Source organism: Homo sapiens, chromosome 7 (assembly GCF_000001405.40).
Source record: "Homo sapiens chromosome 7, GRCh38.p14 Primary Assembly".
In the NCBI taxonomy this organism is placed as follows: Eukaryota; Metazoa; Chordata; class Mammalia; order Primates; family Hominidae; genus Homo; species Homo sapiens.
The window spans coordinates 146762754-146779113 of record NC_000007.14 but is presented as its reverse complement, the minus strand read 5'-3'; the positions used below and the strand labels follow the sequence as shown (position 1 = coordinate 146779113).

The following is a 16360-nucleotide window of genomic DNA, read 5'->3' as shown; positions in this document are numbered from 1 at the left end:
TGTGAGTGAAACCAGAGCTTGATTCATCCTTCTCTGTGCAGGTACCCTGGCCTCATGTCTTCACTTCTTCCCCAGCACCTGCTCTCCTCTTCTCTCTAGTTTACACATAGCCTGTTATCGTTTCCCCAGTAGTCCCCTGGGTTCCCAAAACGATGTCAGGTAACAAAGCAGAGGGATTCTAATAGCAACCGTTGAGATCAGGTGTTCTCACTAAGCCTCTGTGGTAGTGGAGAGAGACCTGGACCACGTGGTGGATGGCTGTCTCTCTGGCAGAAGAAAAGGACTGATTTCTACAAAAGGCATATGAAGTACAAGGTTGAAAGTTTGGCAGAAGAATTGATTGGCATCTCTAACTGACCATTCTTTCTAACCAGGTTGTTATGAAGATTGAGAAACAATTAGAGCACAGATGAAAGCAGTTTATAATCTGTAAAATTCTATATTAAAAGTAAGGTAAGGGATATGCTGTTTGAAACTTTCAAAGGTTTTGTATCTGTGCTAACCTTGGAAAGAGTAACACATCTAAGTGCTACTAACTCAGAATGACACAAGACTGGGAAGCCTTCGATGGATTAAAAATGTGGGGATAAATCAGAACACAGATCACAGGAATAAGGTGTTGATAAGAAAACAACAGCACCAATAAACTAAAAACAATGAGCTCCAAAAGACATGTCAGAATTACGCATGGATTTTTCATTTAAACATCTCATTTCCTCCATACTTTTGCCATGTACTGGTCCCTGACATCAAGATTATAGCAGATGGATTTGTATTGTGGAGAACCATAAACTAAATTCAATTTCATAAATATGTGACAATCTGTCATTTGAATATATGCATTTATATGGTGCTTTCCTATGTATTTATAAACTTTCTCTCCAAAATGTACTTTAGGAATATCATTTAAGTAAATAATAAAACTTGAAGCCAATGTTTATCAACATAATGCTCAACTGAATTTGTTCTTTTCTGCATTTGTATAATTAGTAGGTTACATTCTGATATTTTTCTGTTAGTATATGATCTTCTCACTTTCAGATACTTATATAGTGTCTGTATCAGATGACTCTTGCCACTTGTAAATTAAGAAAATGTATCTCCAACATTCCTGGATTCTATAATGTTCATATATTTTTTCTGCTTGGAATTGTCTGTCTTCTTTATATCTTCCAGATATATAACATCATGCTATACTTAAAAAAAAAAATCTCTTTTCTCTCAATGCTGGCTATTAGCCACATATATGTTTTCAAGAATTTCACCCTACATGGCTCTTCTCCCAAGGGCATTTGCATATAAATTTTAGAGTGGAAGAAAATATTTTGTTGTCCAACCTGGCCAACATGGCAAAACCCCATTTCTATTAAAAAATGCAAAAATCAGCCAGGCATGGTGGGCACTCTCCTGTAATCCCAGCTACTTGTGTGGCTGAGGCAGAAGAATCACTTGAACCCAGGAGGTGGAGCTTGTAGTGAGCTGAGATCATGCCACTGCACTCCAGCCCAGGCAACAGAGCAAGACCCTGTCTTAAAAAAAAAAAAAAAGTTTTGTATTGTAACAACTATGTATGACTTTCTTTTTGTTTTTCCTTGGAGAGGATATAACCTTTCTTTCTCATGCTAGTTCCCTTGACCCACATTTACGTGGCCAACAAGGGTGAAGCCCTACATGTATGTTTCTTGCTGTACCTGCAGGGGCAGAGCAGCATAAAGGGTGAAGATATAGCTTAGTTACCTCACCATCCGTAAAAATTAGGGAGCAAAAATGAGAGCGTTGGGGAGGGCGAGTTATATGTCATTATGGACAGCATAACGCTGATAAGCAAAGCAGTCTTTAGAAGCCAAAAAGTACGTAGCTGCACATCCCCACATAACAAATGATAAAATGGGCTACAATGAAGTGTAGATCTATATCTATAGGACAGACAACACTTTCTTTCCCAACGTGATAATTTCACCCTAATGTATGACAATCCAGTATATCAATGGTCAAAAAGAGATGAACTGTGGGTCACACAGTTAAGAAACTGTAACTTTTGTTTTATAGTTTTTTTGCTTTTGAAACATCTGTCTTTCTGGAAATGCATTCTATTTCTCTCTATCTACCTACCTACCTACCTGTCAATCATCTAGGTAGATATAAATATATATTCTACAAACTACAGACAAAACTACTATAAGGAAAGTAAAGATACTCCTCAAATCCAAGTGTCCAAGTTAAGAAATATATTAACACTTTGGAAGCTTAATATCAGATACCTGACTCTCTCTGTATGAGTAGATAAATACATAAGCAGCTCTAAATGGTGTAAAGTGGTATCTTGTATTATGTTAAAACAAAGAAAAAATAATTTAACTTTTCTAGAATTAAATGAGAGCAAAAAACCTATATATTTTTTCTTGTAAAAGATGTTAATTCCCATTAAAAAACCAAAGGCAGAATAAATTTGTACCTAAAGTTTCAGCATCTGGTAACCTGCTGCTCTGAAAGGTTAGGAAGAAAAAACACCCACATCTCTCTAATTCCCATAATTGACACTTTTACATTTCTGTGCCTATAACATTTATACTCTCTCCTACAACTATAGCTCCTACATCGTTTAGTCGAGGTCTTATATGGAAATGGGTTCCTTGCTCAACACCAGTCATGTGGCCACAATTTCTTTATTGTGCACTTTCAATTTTCTCATTGGTGACTAGATTGTCTCATTTGTATTCCTGAAGTGCTGTTTGCATGACAGAACCTGACTTGCCCAAATTTACTGAGCAAATCATCTTCTTCAGTCGTATTTTCACTCAAAACTTTTGAAAGTAACATTTTCTGACTCTGCTTCCATTCCTCACAGGTGCTTTATGTCTCTCGGCATTATGGCACTTCTTTTAGGGAACAGTACACTCTCTTGGGACCTAGAATTATATGGTATTTCTTTTTCATATTTTGTCCTAGATTTCCTAGTAATGGGAAGGTCTGTATCATAATTACCATTTGGGTATGGCCAGTCCCTTGTTTCATGTTTTTCTGTCTATATTCATTGTTTTAGTTGTTTTCAATGACTTTTATGAGAGAGAAATATATTAAAATTTATATTACTTCAACATCTTTATGCAGAATTTTTGATAACTTATAGTAACTCAACAACTCTCTCATGTCCATAGCCTGATGAATATCAGGTTATAAAAATGAGCTAATTTATACTAATATTACATTAAAACTGCATTTTTGTTATGTTCCTCTACCTTTGCTTGTGTATCACTCTTTCACCAAGTCTTTTTACTGACTGAGACCTCTTCATAGATCTGTGAATACCTTATATATTATTCTGTATACACTAGGCTAGCTTTTTCCTATCTATTTTCTTCTCTTTTTTGGTCTTTCTAAATCTGATATGCCTTTCTTTTCTGATACAATATTTTTTCTCCCTCTCTTTATTTTCTTCTTCTTGTTCTTCTTTTGGGTTTCCTCCTGCTTTCTTTTTTCATCTTTGTTTCCTTCCTTCCTTCCTTCCTTTCTTCCTTCCTCTCTCCCTCCCTCCCTTTCTCCTTCCCTCCCTTCTTCCCTTTCTTACTTCCTCCTATATTCATTCCCTTTCATTTTTTTATTTATAGAATTGGTTGATTCTAGATTGTTTTATGATTTCACATTTCTTATTTTCCTTTAGCTGTATTAAGGTGCAGTCACAAAAAATTTATATATTTATAGTATACAACATGGTGTTTTGACATATGTATTGTGAAATAATTAACTCAAGATAATTAACATATCCATCACAACACAGTTATTTTTCATAAATGGTGAGGCCACTTAAAAGCTGTTACTTTAGCAATTTTCAAGGATGCAACATATTATTAACTATAGTCACCATGCTACACAATAGATATCCAAAACTTATTCATCTTGTCTAACTAAAACTTTGTACCTTTTAACAGATATCTCAATTTTTTCTCCCTCTCCACCGAAGCCCCTGTCAACCACCACCATTCCTGTTTTACTGAATTAAACATCATGGTCTCTGTTTGTTGATTCATATTTATCTGAGATAATATTGTTTCTTTCCTTTTTAAGTTGCCATTCACTGATGTTTGTACCAGTGTTCCTTTGAAGCAAAAGAGTTTTTTGCCTCTGTCCTTAATTATGTTCTTTTACTCTCAGTGAATTGCTAGAAAATTTGAAACTGCCAGTTACTAACAAATACCATGATTTAAGGTCAAGAACTCACATTGTAGTTGCACACATCTAACGATTTTTTACACAGATTTTATAATAGAGCTACATTCTGGGTACCGGAGGAAAAATTACAAGGGGCATTTGCATTTTCAATAGGAACTAACTTTTTACATTAATATACAGTAAATACAAAGTGCTTTTTTTAATACACCGTACGCATTTTGGGAGTCAATTCTTTTTTACATCTTTCTAAATGATTTTCTGATTAATAGGAATTTTAACTCTAAACGTTTATGCCATTTTGACTTTATTATCCCAGGCAACTTCAAAATGTCTTCCTTTTTGACGTACTATCTCTAACTTCCAGCCTAAGTTTTCCTATGTTATTTCAATGTGGAGATTACATGAGAGGTTAATGGCATCTATGGATCTTTTAATAGAAGTGGCAGGAGTGATTTCTGGTGTCTGCCAACATCTGTTGTGTGATTATATATATATATGGCTATAAATATAACATGTTCTTATTTAACATGTTTATTGATAAAAGAATCAAAATTTGGCTTACCTCCTCTCTTGTTTATCTTGGCATAGCCGGGAGAATAGCTACCAGAGATGGAGGAGGAGCTGCTGAAAGCCACATGGGGGAGTCCAGAGACAAGTGGCTCATCACATTTTTCTGAAAACAAAAGACAGAGAGGGAGAGAGACACTCAACAACGATTTCGAAATAACGATTGGTATGTGTTGGTTAAAAAATCATTGAATCTGATATGTCTTTTATGTATCTTTGAAACAATATTTAGCAAAGGAATTTAGGCAATTCTGTTATCCTAAATATAATATAACACAGGAGCTGTTTATATAACCCTGATATTCAAATGGAAAACCATAGCAAAGCACATTACTCCAAAGGACTTCACCTCAGTCTTGCTATCTGAGAATCATGAGTAAAATTGAGCTTGTTCCTGTAATAAGCTTTGGTATCTGGCATCTCCTGGAAATCTTCAGGTATTTATACATTATAGGAACAGGGAACTAGAATTACTAATGTTGGAGGAGGAAAGACAAAGAGGACTCCTACCAAAGCCAAAAGACCAAGAAATGGGGAGTTGCTAACCAACACGTATAAAATTTCAGTTATGTGAGATGACTAAGTTCTGGAGATCTGGTGTGAAATATTATACCTCTAGATGATATTGCACACTTATCAAGGCAGATCTCATGTTACATGTTCTCACTAGAATAGAAAAAAGAGGCTGGGAGTGGTGACTCATGCCTGTAATCCCAGCACTTTGGGAGGCCAAGGCGGGTTGATCACCTGAGGTCGGGAGTTCAAGACCAGCCTGACCAACAGGAGAAACCCCATCTCTACTAAAAATGATAAATTAACCGGTCATGGTGGTGCATGCCTGTGATCCCAGGTATTCGGGAGGCTGAGGCAGGAGAATTGCTTGAACCTGGCAGGCAGAGGTTGCGGTGAGCCAAGATCGTGCCACTGCACTCCAGCCTGGGCAACAACAGCAAAACTCCGTCTCAAAAATCAAAGAAAGAAAGAACTAGACATCAGCAAGTAAAGACAGAATAACCATCAACTTGAAAATTATTACTGACAGAAAAATTAATCAGTTCCCATCATGCTCAACCAATCAACTGCACTGAAACCAGGCAATACCTCAATTCTATTTGTAACACTTTCTGCACTTGGCTTTTATAATGTCATTAAGATTTTTTTTTCTCTTTTTTCTCATTAGCTGCTTGCTCTCTGATTCCTTTGATGGATCTTTCTCATTTTGCCAACGCCTAAGTGCTTCTAATGTTAACGTGGCCAGGACTGTTCTGAGTCTACCGTCCCTCTCTGGGTCTCTGGGAAATGGCATGGAGGGCTAAGTCTTCTGATACTGGGATGTTCCAAATCCTACTGCCTCACTTCAACTCCATAGCTACAGATAGGGCACATACAGCTTCCAGAGATCACTGTTACAAAAGACTGTGTGGTCTCCCTGCTTCCCCTCTCACTCTGCTATAGTTTTGCCGGCAGCAGCTGAAGAAACACTTTTCAAACTGTAAGTGAACTTGTGGCTGCTGTACTCAAAATGCTCTCTGGCTCCTGCTCTCAACTTGGCCTACTGTTCAAAGTACCCCTGCCCAACCCCTGCTACCCCGCCACCCAGTGGCCTATGATGGCCACAACACTAGTCTTATCTCTTTCCCCATGTTCTTGTCTATTCCTGTCTAGCCACCATGGCCCCTTTCCTCTTTTTTCTTTTTTATTTTTATTTGAGACCGAGTGTCACTCTGTTGCCCAGGCTGGAGTGCAGTGGCGCCAGCTCGGCTCACTGCAACCTCTGTCTCCCGGGTTCAAGCGATTCACCTGCCTCAGCCTCCTGAGTAGCTGGGATTACAGGCGTGTGCCACCAAGTACAGCTATTTTTTTTTTTTTTTTTTGTATTTTCAGTAGAGACGGGGTTTCACCATGTTAGCCAGGATGGTCTAGATCTCCTGACCTCGTGATCTGCTCGCCTCGGCCTCCCAAAGTGCTGGGATTAAAGGTGTGAGCCACCGCACCTGGCCCCTCCTCTTCCTTTAAAAACAATCCTACCCCTGCTGTAAGCCTTTGCAACTACTACTCCAAGTATCCTCTCTTGTCACAGGTCTCTGCTCAATGTGACCTTTGCCACTGAGGACAGGGTTTGCTAGTTCACCCAGCATTTTGTTGCCATCAGTCTCTGTATCCACATCCTGCTTGATTTTCTGTCATAATACATATATGTTATGTTGTTACTCATTTAATTGTTTTGTTGTCTTTCTCTCCCACTAGATAGAAAGCTCTATCTGAAATGAAGTTTTAGTTGGCCTAATGCTTACTCTCCAGTGATCTGAACAATGGTACTTGGCACGTACTCTAAAAACATTTGTAGGATAAATGAATGAATGTACTAAACCCAATGAACCTCAAAGAGTCTGGAAGCAAGATCTCATATTATAACATGCCACAACACTTAATTTTTAGAGTAGTGGTCTTAAATTCCCCACAAATGTTTATGCTCAGAACTCTGTTTAATAAAACAGAAAATGTTTCTCTATATATTCAAAAATGTTTCTCTCTCAAATTTATAAGCAAAAAATATTTTAGCAACAGAAAGAATAAACTAATTTTCTTGTAAATTCACTTAAGTCCCCAATGATACTGGAGAAATGAATTATTATTTATTATCTCACCACTCAATTGTATACAAATTGGAAATTAAAATCAACAAATCCGTCTTCATATAATATTTGTAAAATTGCTTATTTTTCTTAGTTATACTGCGTGCCTCTGTGAAATATGGCATGTGTGTATAAATAAGTTCCCCAGAAAGTTAAATGTAAAAGAATGAAAAGAACTTAAAATTTGTTTTAAAAGTATCAATTCACAAAGCTATCATCTAAAGTAATGGGTTTCATATTAATCGAAAACATCTACTTCTGTTTAGCTGTGAGCACAAACATACATCCTTGATTTTCCTACTTTCTGATACATTTGATTATAACTTTTTATAATTTTTGAGATAAGTGTTGCCTTTAATTGGAGTAAACATTCCTTCTAATGTTCCCGTTATATTAGAAATGTGCTAACATTCACTCATGTTCATTTCATTCATTTAAATATGCATCAACTGCCAAGCACTGAAGTGCAGCTGAAGGTGAAATTAACAATGCCCTGCCCTTGTAGAGCTTATGTTTTTGTGGGAAGAAACATGCCAACGAAAAAATGTAAATTTATAGTATGCTATGGTAATTAATACTAAGAAGGAACATTAAATATGAAACAGTGGGCAGGGAGTTTGGGGGTGAGGTGGAGAGGAAGAGAATTGCTATTTTATGCTGCCTTCTCAAGGAAAGTTTTGACAAAATGATCAGGTAGCATTTGAGTAGAAATATGAAGAAAATGAGGAAGAAAGCCACGTTATAAATCTGCAGGATCATGCTAGGAGAAATTTTTCTAGTCCATACCTGCTCAATCAGGCTAGCTCATACTTGATAATAATGCATGACACATTTTCTAAGAGTGAATATCCAATGGATAGATATGGTTGCGTTGAATGTAATTAAACTAAGTTGATAACTGATTAAATGATCCAATAGCTAATTTAAATTTAGAATTTATATGTAGCATTTATAAAACCATAATATAGTTTAGAGTTATTACATTAAACAAATTGGCTTCTGTAACTAATTCATCATCTGAGTACCAAATTTTACATTTTTTACTAATTTAAAAAATCAAATCAATTTTTAAAAATTTAAAAATTAAAGTAATAATTTGAAAAAATTATATAATTATTCAGAATAACAATAATTAGAATTAAATTGAGCTTAGTAAAGATCAGGGCCAATAAGCAATTTTTTTTAAAGGTGACTGCAAAATTATTATCAGAATGTAAAGCACCAGCAATCTCACATTCTTCCAAATTAAAACATAATCTATAATCATATTATAAGCTAAAAAATGCAACAATTACTATATTTTTCCCTGGAGGACATTAATCACGATTATTTATTGAGATCTTACACTGCATTTTGCTGTTTTCACTACTTCAGGCAGATTATATGTATATGTGTGTGTGTGTGTGTGTGTGTGTGTGTGTGTATACACACACATATATATATATAATTCCATTTCGCTACATTCCATTTGTATATATGCACACACACACATACATACAAAGATATGGCATATTCCTCCATAAGTGGCAGTAATAAATGAATCCACAAAAAGTAATTAAACATGAAGCAACAAAAGAGTAATAAAAATGGTTTAAAATTCAATGCTAAATAGAATAAAATCAAATACAAAAAGCCACAAATAAATTAGAAATGTAGGGTTGTTGTTAGTTGAGTTGCTCATTAGACCTGGCTCCATCATAAACGTGTGACCCTGAATATGTCAATGAACCCCTTTCCTACAGGTGATACACAAGTAATATGAGGAAGTTTAAGTTTCTCTCAAGCTCTGAAAACCCCAAAATAGTGTTAACCACCAAGAGTTAGAAAACTATGGCCTGCAGGCCCAACCCAGCCCACAGATTGCTTTTGTAAGTAAAGTTTTATTGGAGCACAGTTACACATCATGCATTTATGTATTGTCTCTGATGGCTTTCACACAGCAGTAGAATATTGCAATGGATATCATATGGCCCACGAAACTAAACTATTTACTATCTGAGCTTTTACAGAGTGAGTTTCCAAACCTCTTATCCAGTATAACAAATATGAAGGAACTTAGGAATCAGAATGATTAATGATTAGAGTGTCAGATGCCATATAATTAATGAATAGAATCTGAAGAAATTAGAGACTACAGATAGGTAGAAAGGAAATTTTAGAAAGAGGGAACACCTCAAGCAACATGAAAGAGCCCACAATGAATTTGAAATTTCCCAGAGATGGTTGTAGCAGCACTCCATGCAAGCACATATTGCCATACTGACTATTACAATATACTATCCATTTTTATTTCCAACTGTAATAATGGTTATCACTCATTATGCATTCTAAAAAGTCTGCTTTTTTGTTGTACTAAAACATGTATCTCAATCTCCTGCAGACATTAAATACTAGGAAATCAGTCAAATCCCTGGAGAAATTTAGAATTTTTATATAATAGTAAAGGAGGGAAGGAGCGAAAGAAAAAGAGAACTAACATTTGAAATAATCCAGTATTGTGTTTTCCCATACTGGGATGTCTTCCAAAACTACAGCCATACACAGCAATGGCAAATATTTGGTCTCCAGCGTACTTCCCTTCCAGGGAATCTTGGATGAAAATTAGAAAAGCAGATGGGCCTTGAGTTTTATTTTCACACAATTTCAGTCAATCATGAAGGCAGACTAGCTATATGAATCCTGTACTAACTCAAGCTGGAGCAGAGGAAATTATTGGCAAATAGACATGAAATAGCTGTTGCCCTTTACCTAAAAGATACGGCTGAGAGGTTTGGCTATTGGCAAGGGATACTGGCAGGAGTTTACAAGATTAAAGGACTTCAGAATATACGTAATTGACACAAAAGTATGGTTTTCAAATGCATCTCTGCTGAAATATAATGTCTGAAAATGTTTCACAAAACAATATATGTTTAAACTATAACACTTCAAATAGATGTTTTATATGACCCATTTGGTAACATAAGCCTAATGGAGGAAAACAACTAAAAACAACAAATGACTCAAGAATGAGACAGTGCTAGCTGAACAGAAATTCTAGCAATAACATCCTCACTTTTATATTAGGAAAAATTCCATGGCAAAAGGCACATTCTGAGTTGAACACATCACTCTGTGGTCTTACGTGTACATTCAACTTCTGCCTTTTGAAGTTCGAGCTACTCTACCTATACCTGCACATTTACCCTGCATCACGTGTTATGACTATTCCTTTCCATCATCAGTAGCACAGCAGTTCCTCCAAGAGGTCTTTTATCTACCCCCTGATGTCCATTTCAGGGTCATTAGTTAATGCAATAACTAATGATGGTCAGAAATGTGGGGGGGCACACAACATCGGGACACTCAGGAGCAGAAGGCAAGGTGCAGTCCTGGAGCACTGAGTTGGGACACCAGACCCTGAAATGGACATCGGGGGAAGACAAAAGACCTCTTGAGGAACTGCTGTGCTGCTTGGGAAGCCATAGAAGAGCTTTTCGTTCAGCTTGTAATTCAAGATAGTTTTAGTCATAAGGAACAAGGCAGGATGGGAAGCAGAAGGCAAGTTTGTTGGGAGGTTTGGCCAGAGCTTCTTAAATTACTCCTGATGTCTGCAAGCCAAATTTTGTCTAAATTTAATTTATATTTTACATTTTCTAATTTTCACATATCACATTTTTCTTTAATAATATGTGGAAAGTACAGGAAACAGAATATGATATTCTCTTCCAATTTTTATAATAATTTTTAGACATAGTTGAGGGTCAAGTTTAACTTAACTTTGTATAATTAATACTTTTTGGTGAAAGGCGTGACTTTCAGAGGTAGCAGCATGCTCCTTAGAGTCAAAATATTTAGATTTTATTCCTAGCAACATAAATTGGGGCAGCTTGTTTAATCCTGTCTTACCCACAGTTTCCTTAGTTTTTCCATTATTTCAAAAGTCCTTTTCCTGTTTTGACCCAGTCGTTCTAGATTTTTAAATCATAACAACATAAAATAAATGGTTAAACATTCAGAGTTATAGAAGTATGCTATAAAAATGTATGCTCCTTCTTAGGGCAAAGAACTCATTGACTACTACTCAATCTAGCTTATATATCTTCACTTATACCATATTTTCCTCCCATTTTTATGGTTCATACATTGCTTTTGTGTATCTCTTGCTCCAGCTTCCCTGGACTACTCTTTGCTATTGAAAATAAGATACATCTTTCTCTTGCTCCTGTAGAATTTCATACAATACAGTTAAAGAAAGAACCCTAATAATCCATAGAAGTCATTGCTATTATTACTCTTCATAGTACATATACACAGATGCAACATTTAACGTAACAGATATTTAGATATGCACGCAAATAAACAAACAAAAAACATTTACAATCTGGTCTTTAACATACCTTTTCACTTACTGATCTATCATAGAAATTCCCATACAAATATAGCCTCATTTTATGTATTTCATTTTATATTAGAGATCTTTTATTATTTATATTAGGCTCTGCATGGCAGAAGCAACTAACTTTGCACAGAAAATACTAGAGTGCTAGGTCATTGCTAAAACAGGTCATAAAATTGCATTGAGAATTAATTATTTTCTCATAGAGTCTACAAATAAGTTCACAAAAGAACTTATCAAACAGAAGGACCATGAAGAGAAGTACAATTAGTTTGTCATCAATTGCTAATTTAGGAAAAAGCTAAAGATAATGGAATTGGAATGAAATCAACTGATTGGACATAACTTATCTGACACACAGCGAAAATTGCTAAGTGAATACAATAAATTCATCTGCCTTCCTTTTTTCTTTTTACTATATCTCTCTTGTTTCCTACTAGATGGAGGTGACCTAATTTACTCTTTTATTTCATTTTCCATTTAATGAGACAAAGCCCAGTGTTATAGGGGTGAGCCCGAATGAGGCAGCCTTCCCACCTCCCATCTCAATCCTTCCAATTTGGACCTTGATGAATATACAGATGGCAGAGATCATTAAACCACAATCAACGAATCAATTGATAGTAATAGCAATCATTTATTGAACACTTACGTGATAGCCAAGTAAATATTTTGAGTGGGTCATCTCATTGAGTTATCACAGTAACCCATTGAGATGGGTAGTATTACCATTTTATAGATGAGGAGGCTTCAGATCTCACAGCTAAAGGATATTAAAGTCAGGACAAAGGCCAAATTGTACCTGATTCTAAGGCCTGTGCTTTTGAAGTCTAGTTTTCTGGGACAAATGGTTTCTATAGTGACTTCAGGTAAAATCATATATGTTGCACTGGGCTACACAGACCTAATAATATTGAAATTGTCAAATTGTTCTCACCACCTCTCATTTTGATTCTAAGAATTTACATGAAATGTTACCCTATATAATAATATTGCAGGAATTTCAATATTTTGTGTGCCAAATCAGACCCACATCTTTTAACTGAAAGAGGTTTCTGCAGTTTTAAATAGATGTTCTCAGAGAAACCCATATATAATCAGCAATTTAATGGATATGCCTACATTGAATAGCCTCAGCAAAAGACATCAACTTTATTTCATTTATTCATTCAATAAATATTTATTGGGCACTTATTTCCTGCTTCGATCTTTATCTCCTTACAATCCATTTTCTTCACAGTTGCCAGATGGATTTTTTAAAACTGGGCATCAGATTTTGCCATGCCCTGAAGGCTTCCTGATGGCTTCCCCTCTTATTTAGTATAAAATCGAAGCTCCACTGGGCCCAAGATGGTCTGGCCCTGAAGATATCTCTGGCGCTATTTTATTTCACTCCTTCTCTGGGTCACTAAGCTCTAGATTCACTCTCCTCTCTCTCTCATACACACCAAGCACACCCTTGCTCAAAGGCCTTTCCATCCTCTCCGCTGTCCAGCTAAAATTCTCTCTACCAGGTTTAAAAGAGCTGGTTCCTTTCCACTCTGATTCTGACGCAAATACTACCTTCACTTTTTCTGATCAGTTCATCTAAATTAACCAACTCAATTTCTGTCTTCATTGAGACATTGCTTACTATTCTATCACACTGTCTTGTTTTGTTTCACAGCACTCACCACAATCTGAAATTATCTGGTTTGTTTTTAATTTCTTTATTACTTTTCTTGTTGAATGGACTGTAAATACCATGAGAGGAAGGCAGGTGCCTGATGTGTCCACTCTCTATTCCCAGAGCCTCAAAATCTGTCATGCAGCATAACACAACCTTGCAGAGAGCTGTTGAATCAATGAATTACTGACAATGATAAGAAATAAATCCATCTAAAAGCAAGCAAGGCAAAGTGCTTCCTAGTTTTGACTATTGAGATGTATTCACTTCATCTGTTTAGCTTCTAAGATGTATTTTTGTATTTTCCATTTTAAAATCTGCATTGCAAAAGAGAAATGGCTTCATCCCATGATCTTACACATAGATCTACTTCACTGTATCCCACATAAGAAATATCATCTCTGATCTTCAACAACTTAAAATGACTTGTAATTTGGAACCCCTGAATTATATAGAGGGTTTGTCTAACTCATCAGTACAGTACATGACTTTAGGACTTTTTAAATATCTTGGCTCCAGCAAATGAGTTTTTTGAGACTTGAAACTATTGACTACTGTCAGTTAGCTCTTTTACATCTACTTTTAGTCTTAAAAAGAACATAAGACTTTGGTGTTCCTAATATAATATTTTCATTCTGTATCATTGAAAATCTATTATGATCAATATTGGTTTATATGTTGATTTCTCTGCCAATAATCCTCTTCTGAGGAAGGGAACTTCTTTTCTTTCCCAATATGCAGAATGTAGGGCACACCATAGGAAGTCTTCATATATTTTGAAAAATATTGAACACAATCAATGCAATTTTAATAGCTTATGGCAATGAATAAATTCATTATTTTTAATCTTAAAAATTAGTTCAGATTTCTTTCATTTTCTATTTTGGTTTGTCTAATAGCTATGTTTAAAAATAATAATGAAATAAAAGTAGTATAGCTAGAAAATCGGTCATGTTTGGAGAAATCTTGGTTGTAAATCAAATAAAAAATTGTCTGGTCTGCATGTACCAAGGGCAAATTACTTCGAGAAGTAGTTCAAATTTTGCTGGACATTTAACAGCTGTAGCATATTTCCAACAGATGGTATAACAGATGAATCAGTTTCAAATTATCTACTGAACTGTAATGTACTAGAAATGAAATAGATTTGTGAGGCTTTTTTTTTAAATTAAGCTTTTGACTCCTCGAACTTGATCTTCTAATTTAAAAGAAAAAAAAAAACTCTACAACACAAAATAATAAAAAACAATTTTTACCCTAGCTGTAATCTGGAAAACAAATTGAAGTTTTAATTTTATAACTTCATGCAACAAAAGGAAATAGTATTCAAAAACTGAATCACCACCCAGGAGCTAGGCAGAGGTTTTAATCTCTAACACAGTGGTGACAGTAGACTTTTCTTTTTTTAACTCAAATTCTACAGTCTCGTAAGAAGGTCGAGCTACCTAGAACTTTTAATAAACCAATAATCTGAAGACCGTCAAGGTCAATCACAATATGACTAAATGAACTTGAGTACTCTTAAAGCTTTGATTGACAATCTTCCTAAGGGCTGGGCTCATTTGAATTGTAATTTATTGGTCCACTGGTAAATGTTGCAATTTTTGACCCTCTGGTTTCATTAACTGGTTAACTGAAAGTTAGCATTTAGCAATAAGCAATGTACTTACTGAAAACCAAGTCTATTTCCTAGACTACTTAACCCACTTAGCTTTAAATAACTAAGTGCTGTAGGTAAGCATTTTCCCAGTGTACTTGGCTTAAGTAACTTCAGATTAGGCCATGCAATCAAGAGGTACAGAGTGAAAAATGGAGCGCTATAGAGCCAGTAAGGGTGAAGCTGTAGAAAAATCCTTAATCAATTGACAAATGTTTATGGCATGATAGGCTAAAAAAGTAGTCTATAAAACAGTATTTATAATATGATCTTCATTTTATGAAATAGATATTTATAGGTAAAGAAATGACTGAAAGAATATGTAAACCAAAATGTCAATCATGGTACTGTACTGATTGCTAGATAATTGTTGACTTTCATTTTCTTCTATTTTCTACAGCTTGGAAATGTTCTTCAATTAACATATATTGATTTTATAACATTTGAAAAATAGTATTAACTACCCAGTGACGCTGAGTGCAAAGTTAATATGCATTTCCTTCAATGACAATTTATAGAGTGCCTACAGTTGGGGGACAACAGTGAACAACCTAGAGTTTCATATTATAGTAAATAATAAAAAAAATACACAGTATTTCAGATGGTGTTAATTATAGGGAAAATAGGGCATGACAGGAAGATGAGGAGTATGGGTGAATGGATAAGCATCCTTGAAATTAGAGGTTTCAGAAGGCCTTACTGATAAGGTATCATTTTTAGCAGAACTTAATGGAAAAGAGAGAACAAGCCATAGGGTTATCTGATATCTGTGGAGTAGTAATTCTAGCACAACAAACCCCAGTCAAAAGGCTCGGAGCAGGAACAAGGTGGGTATGTTCAGAGGTCCTAGGAGGCCAGTGAGGATGGAGCAGAAGCATGAGGTAAACAGGACGGAAAGTGGCCAGAGAGACTGCAGAAGACTGGGATGGAAGCCAACTTTGCTGGGCTTTGTAGGGGATCGATATGGTTTAGCAGTGTCCCAACCCAAATCGCATCTGAATTGTAGCTCCCATAATTCCCACATGTTGTGGGCTTTGTAGGGGATTGATATGGTTTAGCAGTGTCCCCACCCAAATCGCATCTGAATTGTAGCTCCCATAATTCCCACATGTCATGGGAGGGACCCAGTTGGAGGTAATTGAATCATGGGGGCAGGTCTTTCCTGTGCTGTTCTTATGATAGTAAATAAGTCTCATGAAATCTGCAGGTTTTATAAAGGGGAGTTCCCCTGTACATGCTACCTTGCCTGCCACCATGTAAGACATGACTTTGCTCCTCCTCTGCCT

General features: G+C 35.8%; 1 protein-coding gene across 2 annotated transcripts in view; it reads right to left on the bottom strand.

The window, feature by feature from the left end:
• The window catches only part of CNTNAP2 (contactin associated protein 2), a 2304198-nt gene that overhangs the window by 1641885 nt on the left and 645953 nt on the right, over positions 1–16360 (bottom strand). For both annotated transcript variants that reach the window (NM_014141.6, XM_017011950.3), the window contains exon 2: positions 4733–4843. In NM_014141.6, coding sequence (NP_054860.1) covers positions 4733–4843 — 111 coding nt within the window. The remainder of the gene's footprint in view (positions 1–4732; positions 4844–16360) is intronic.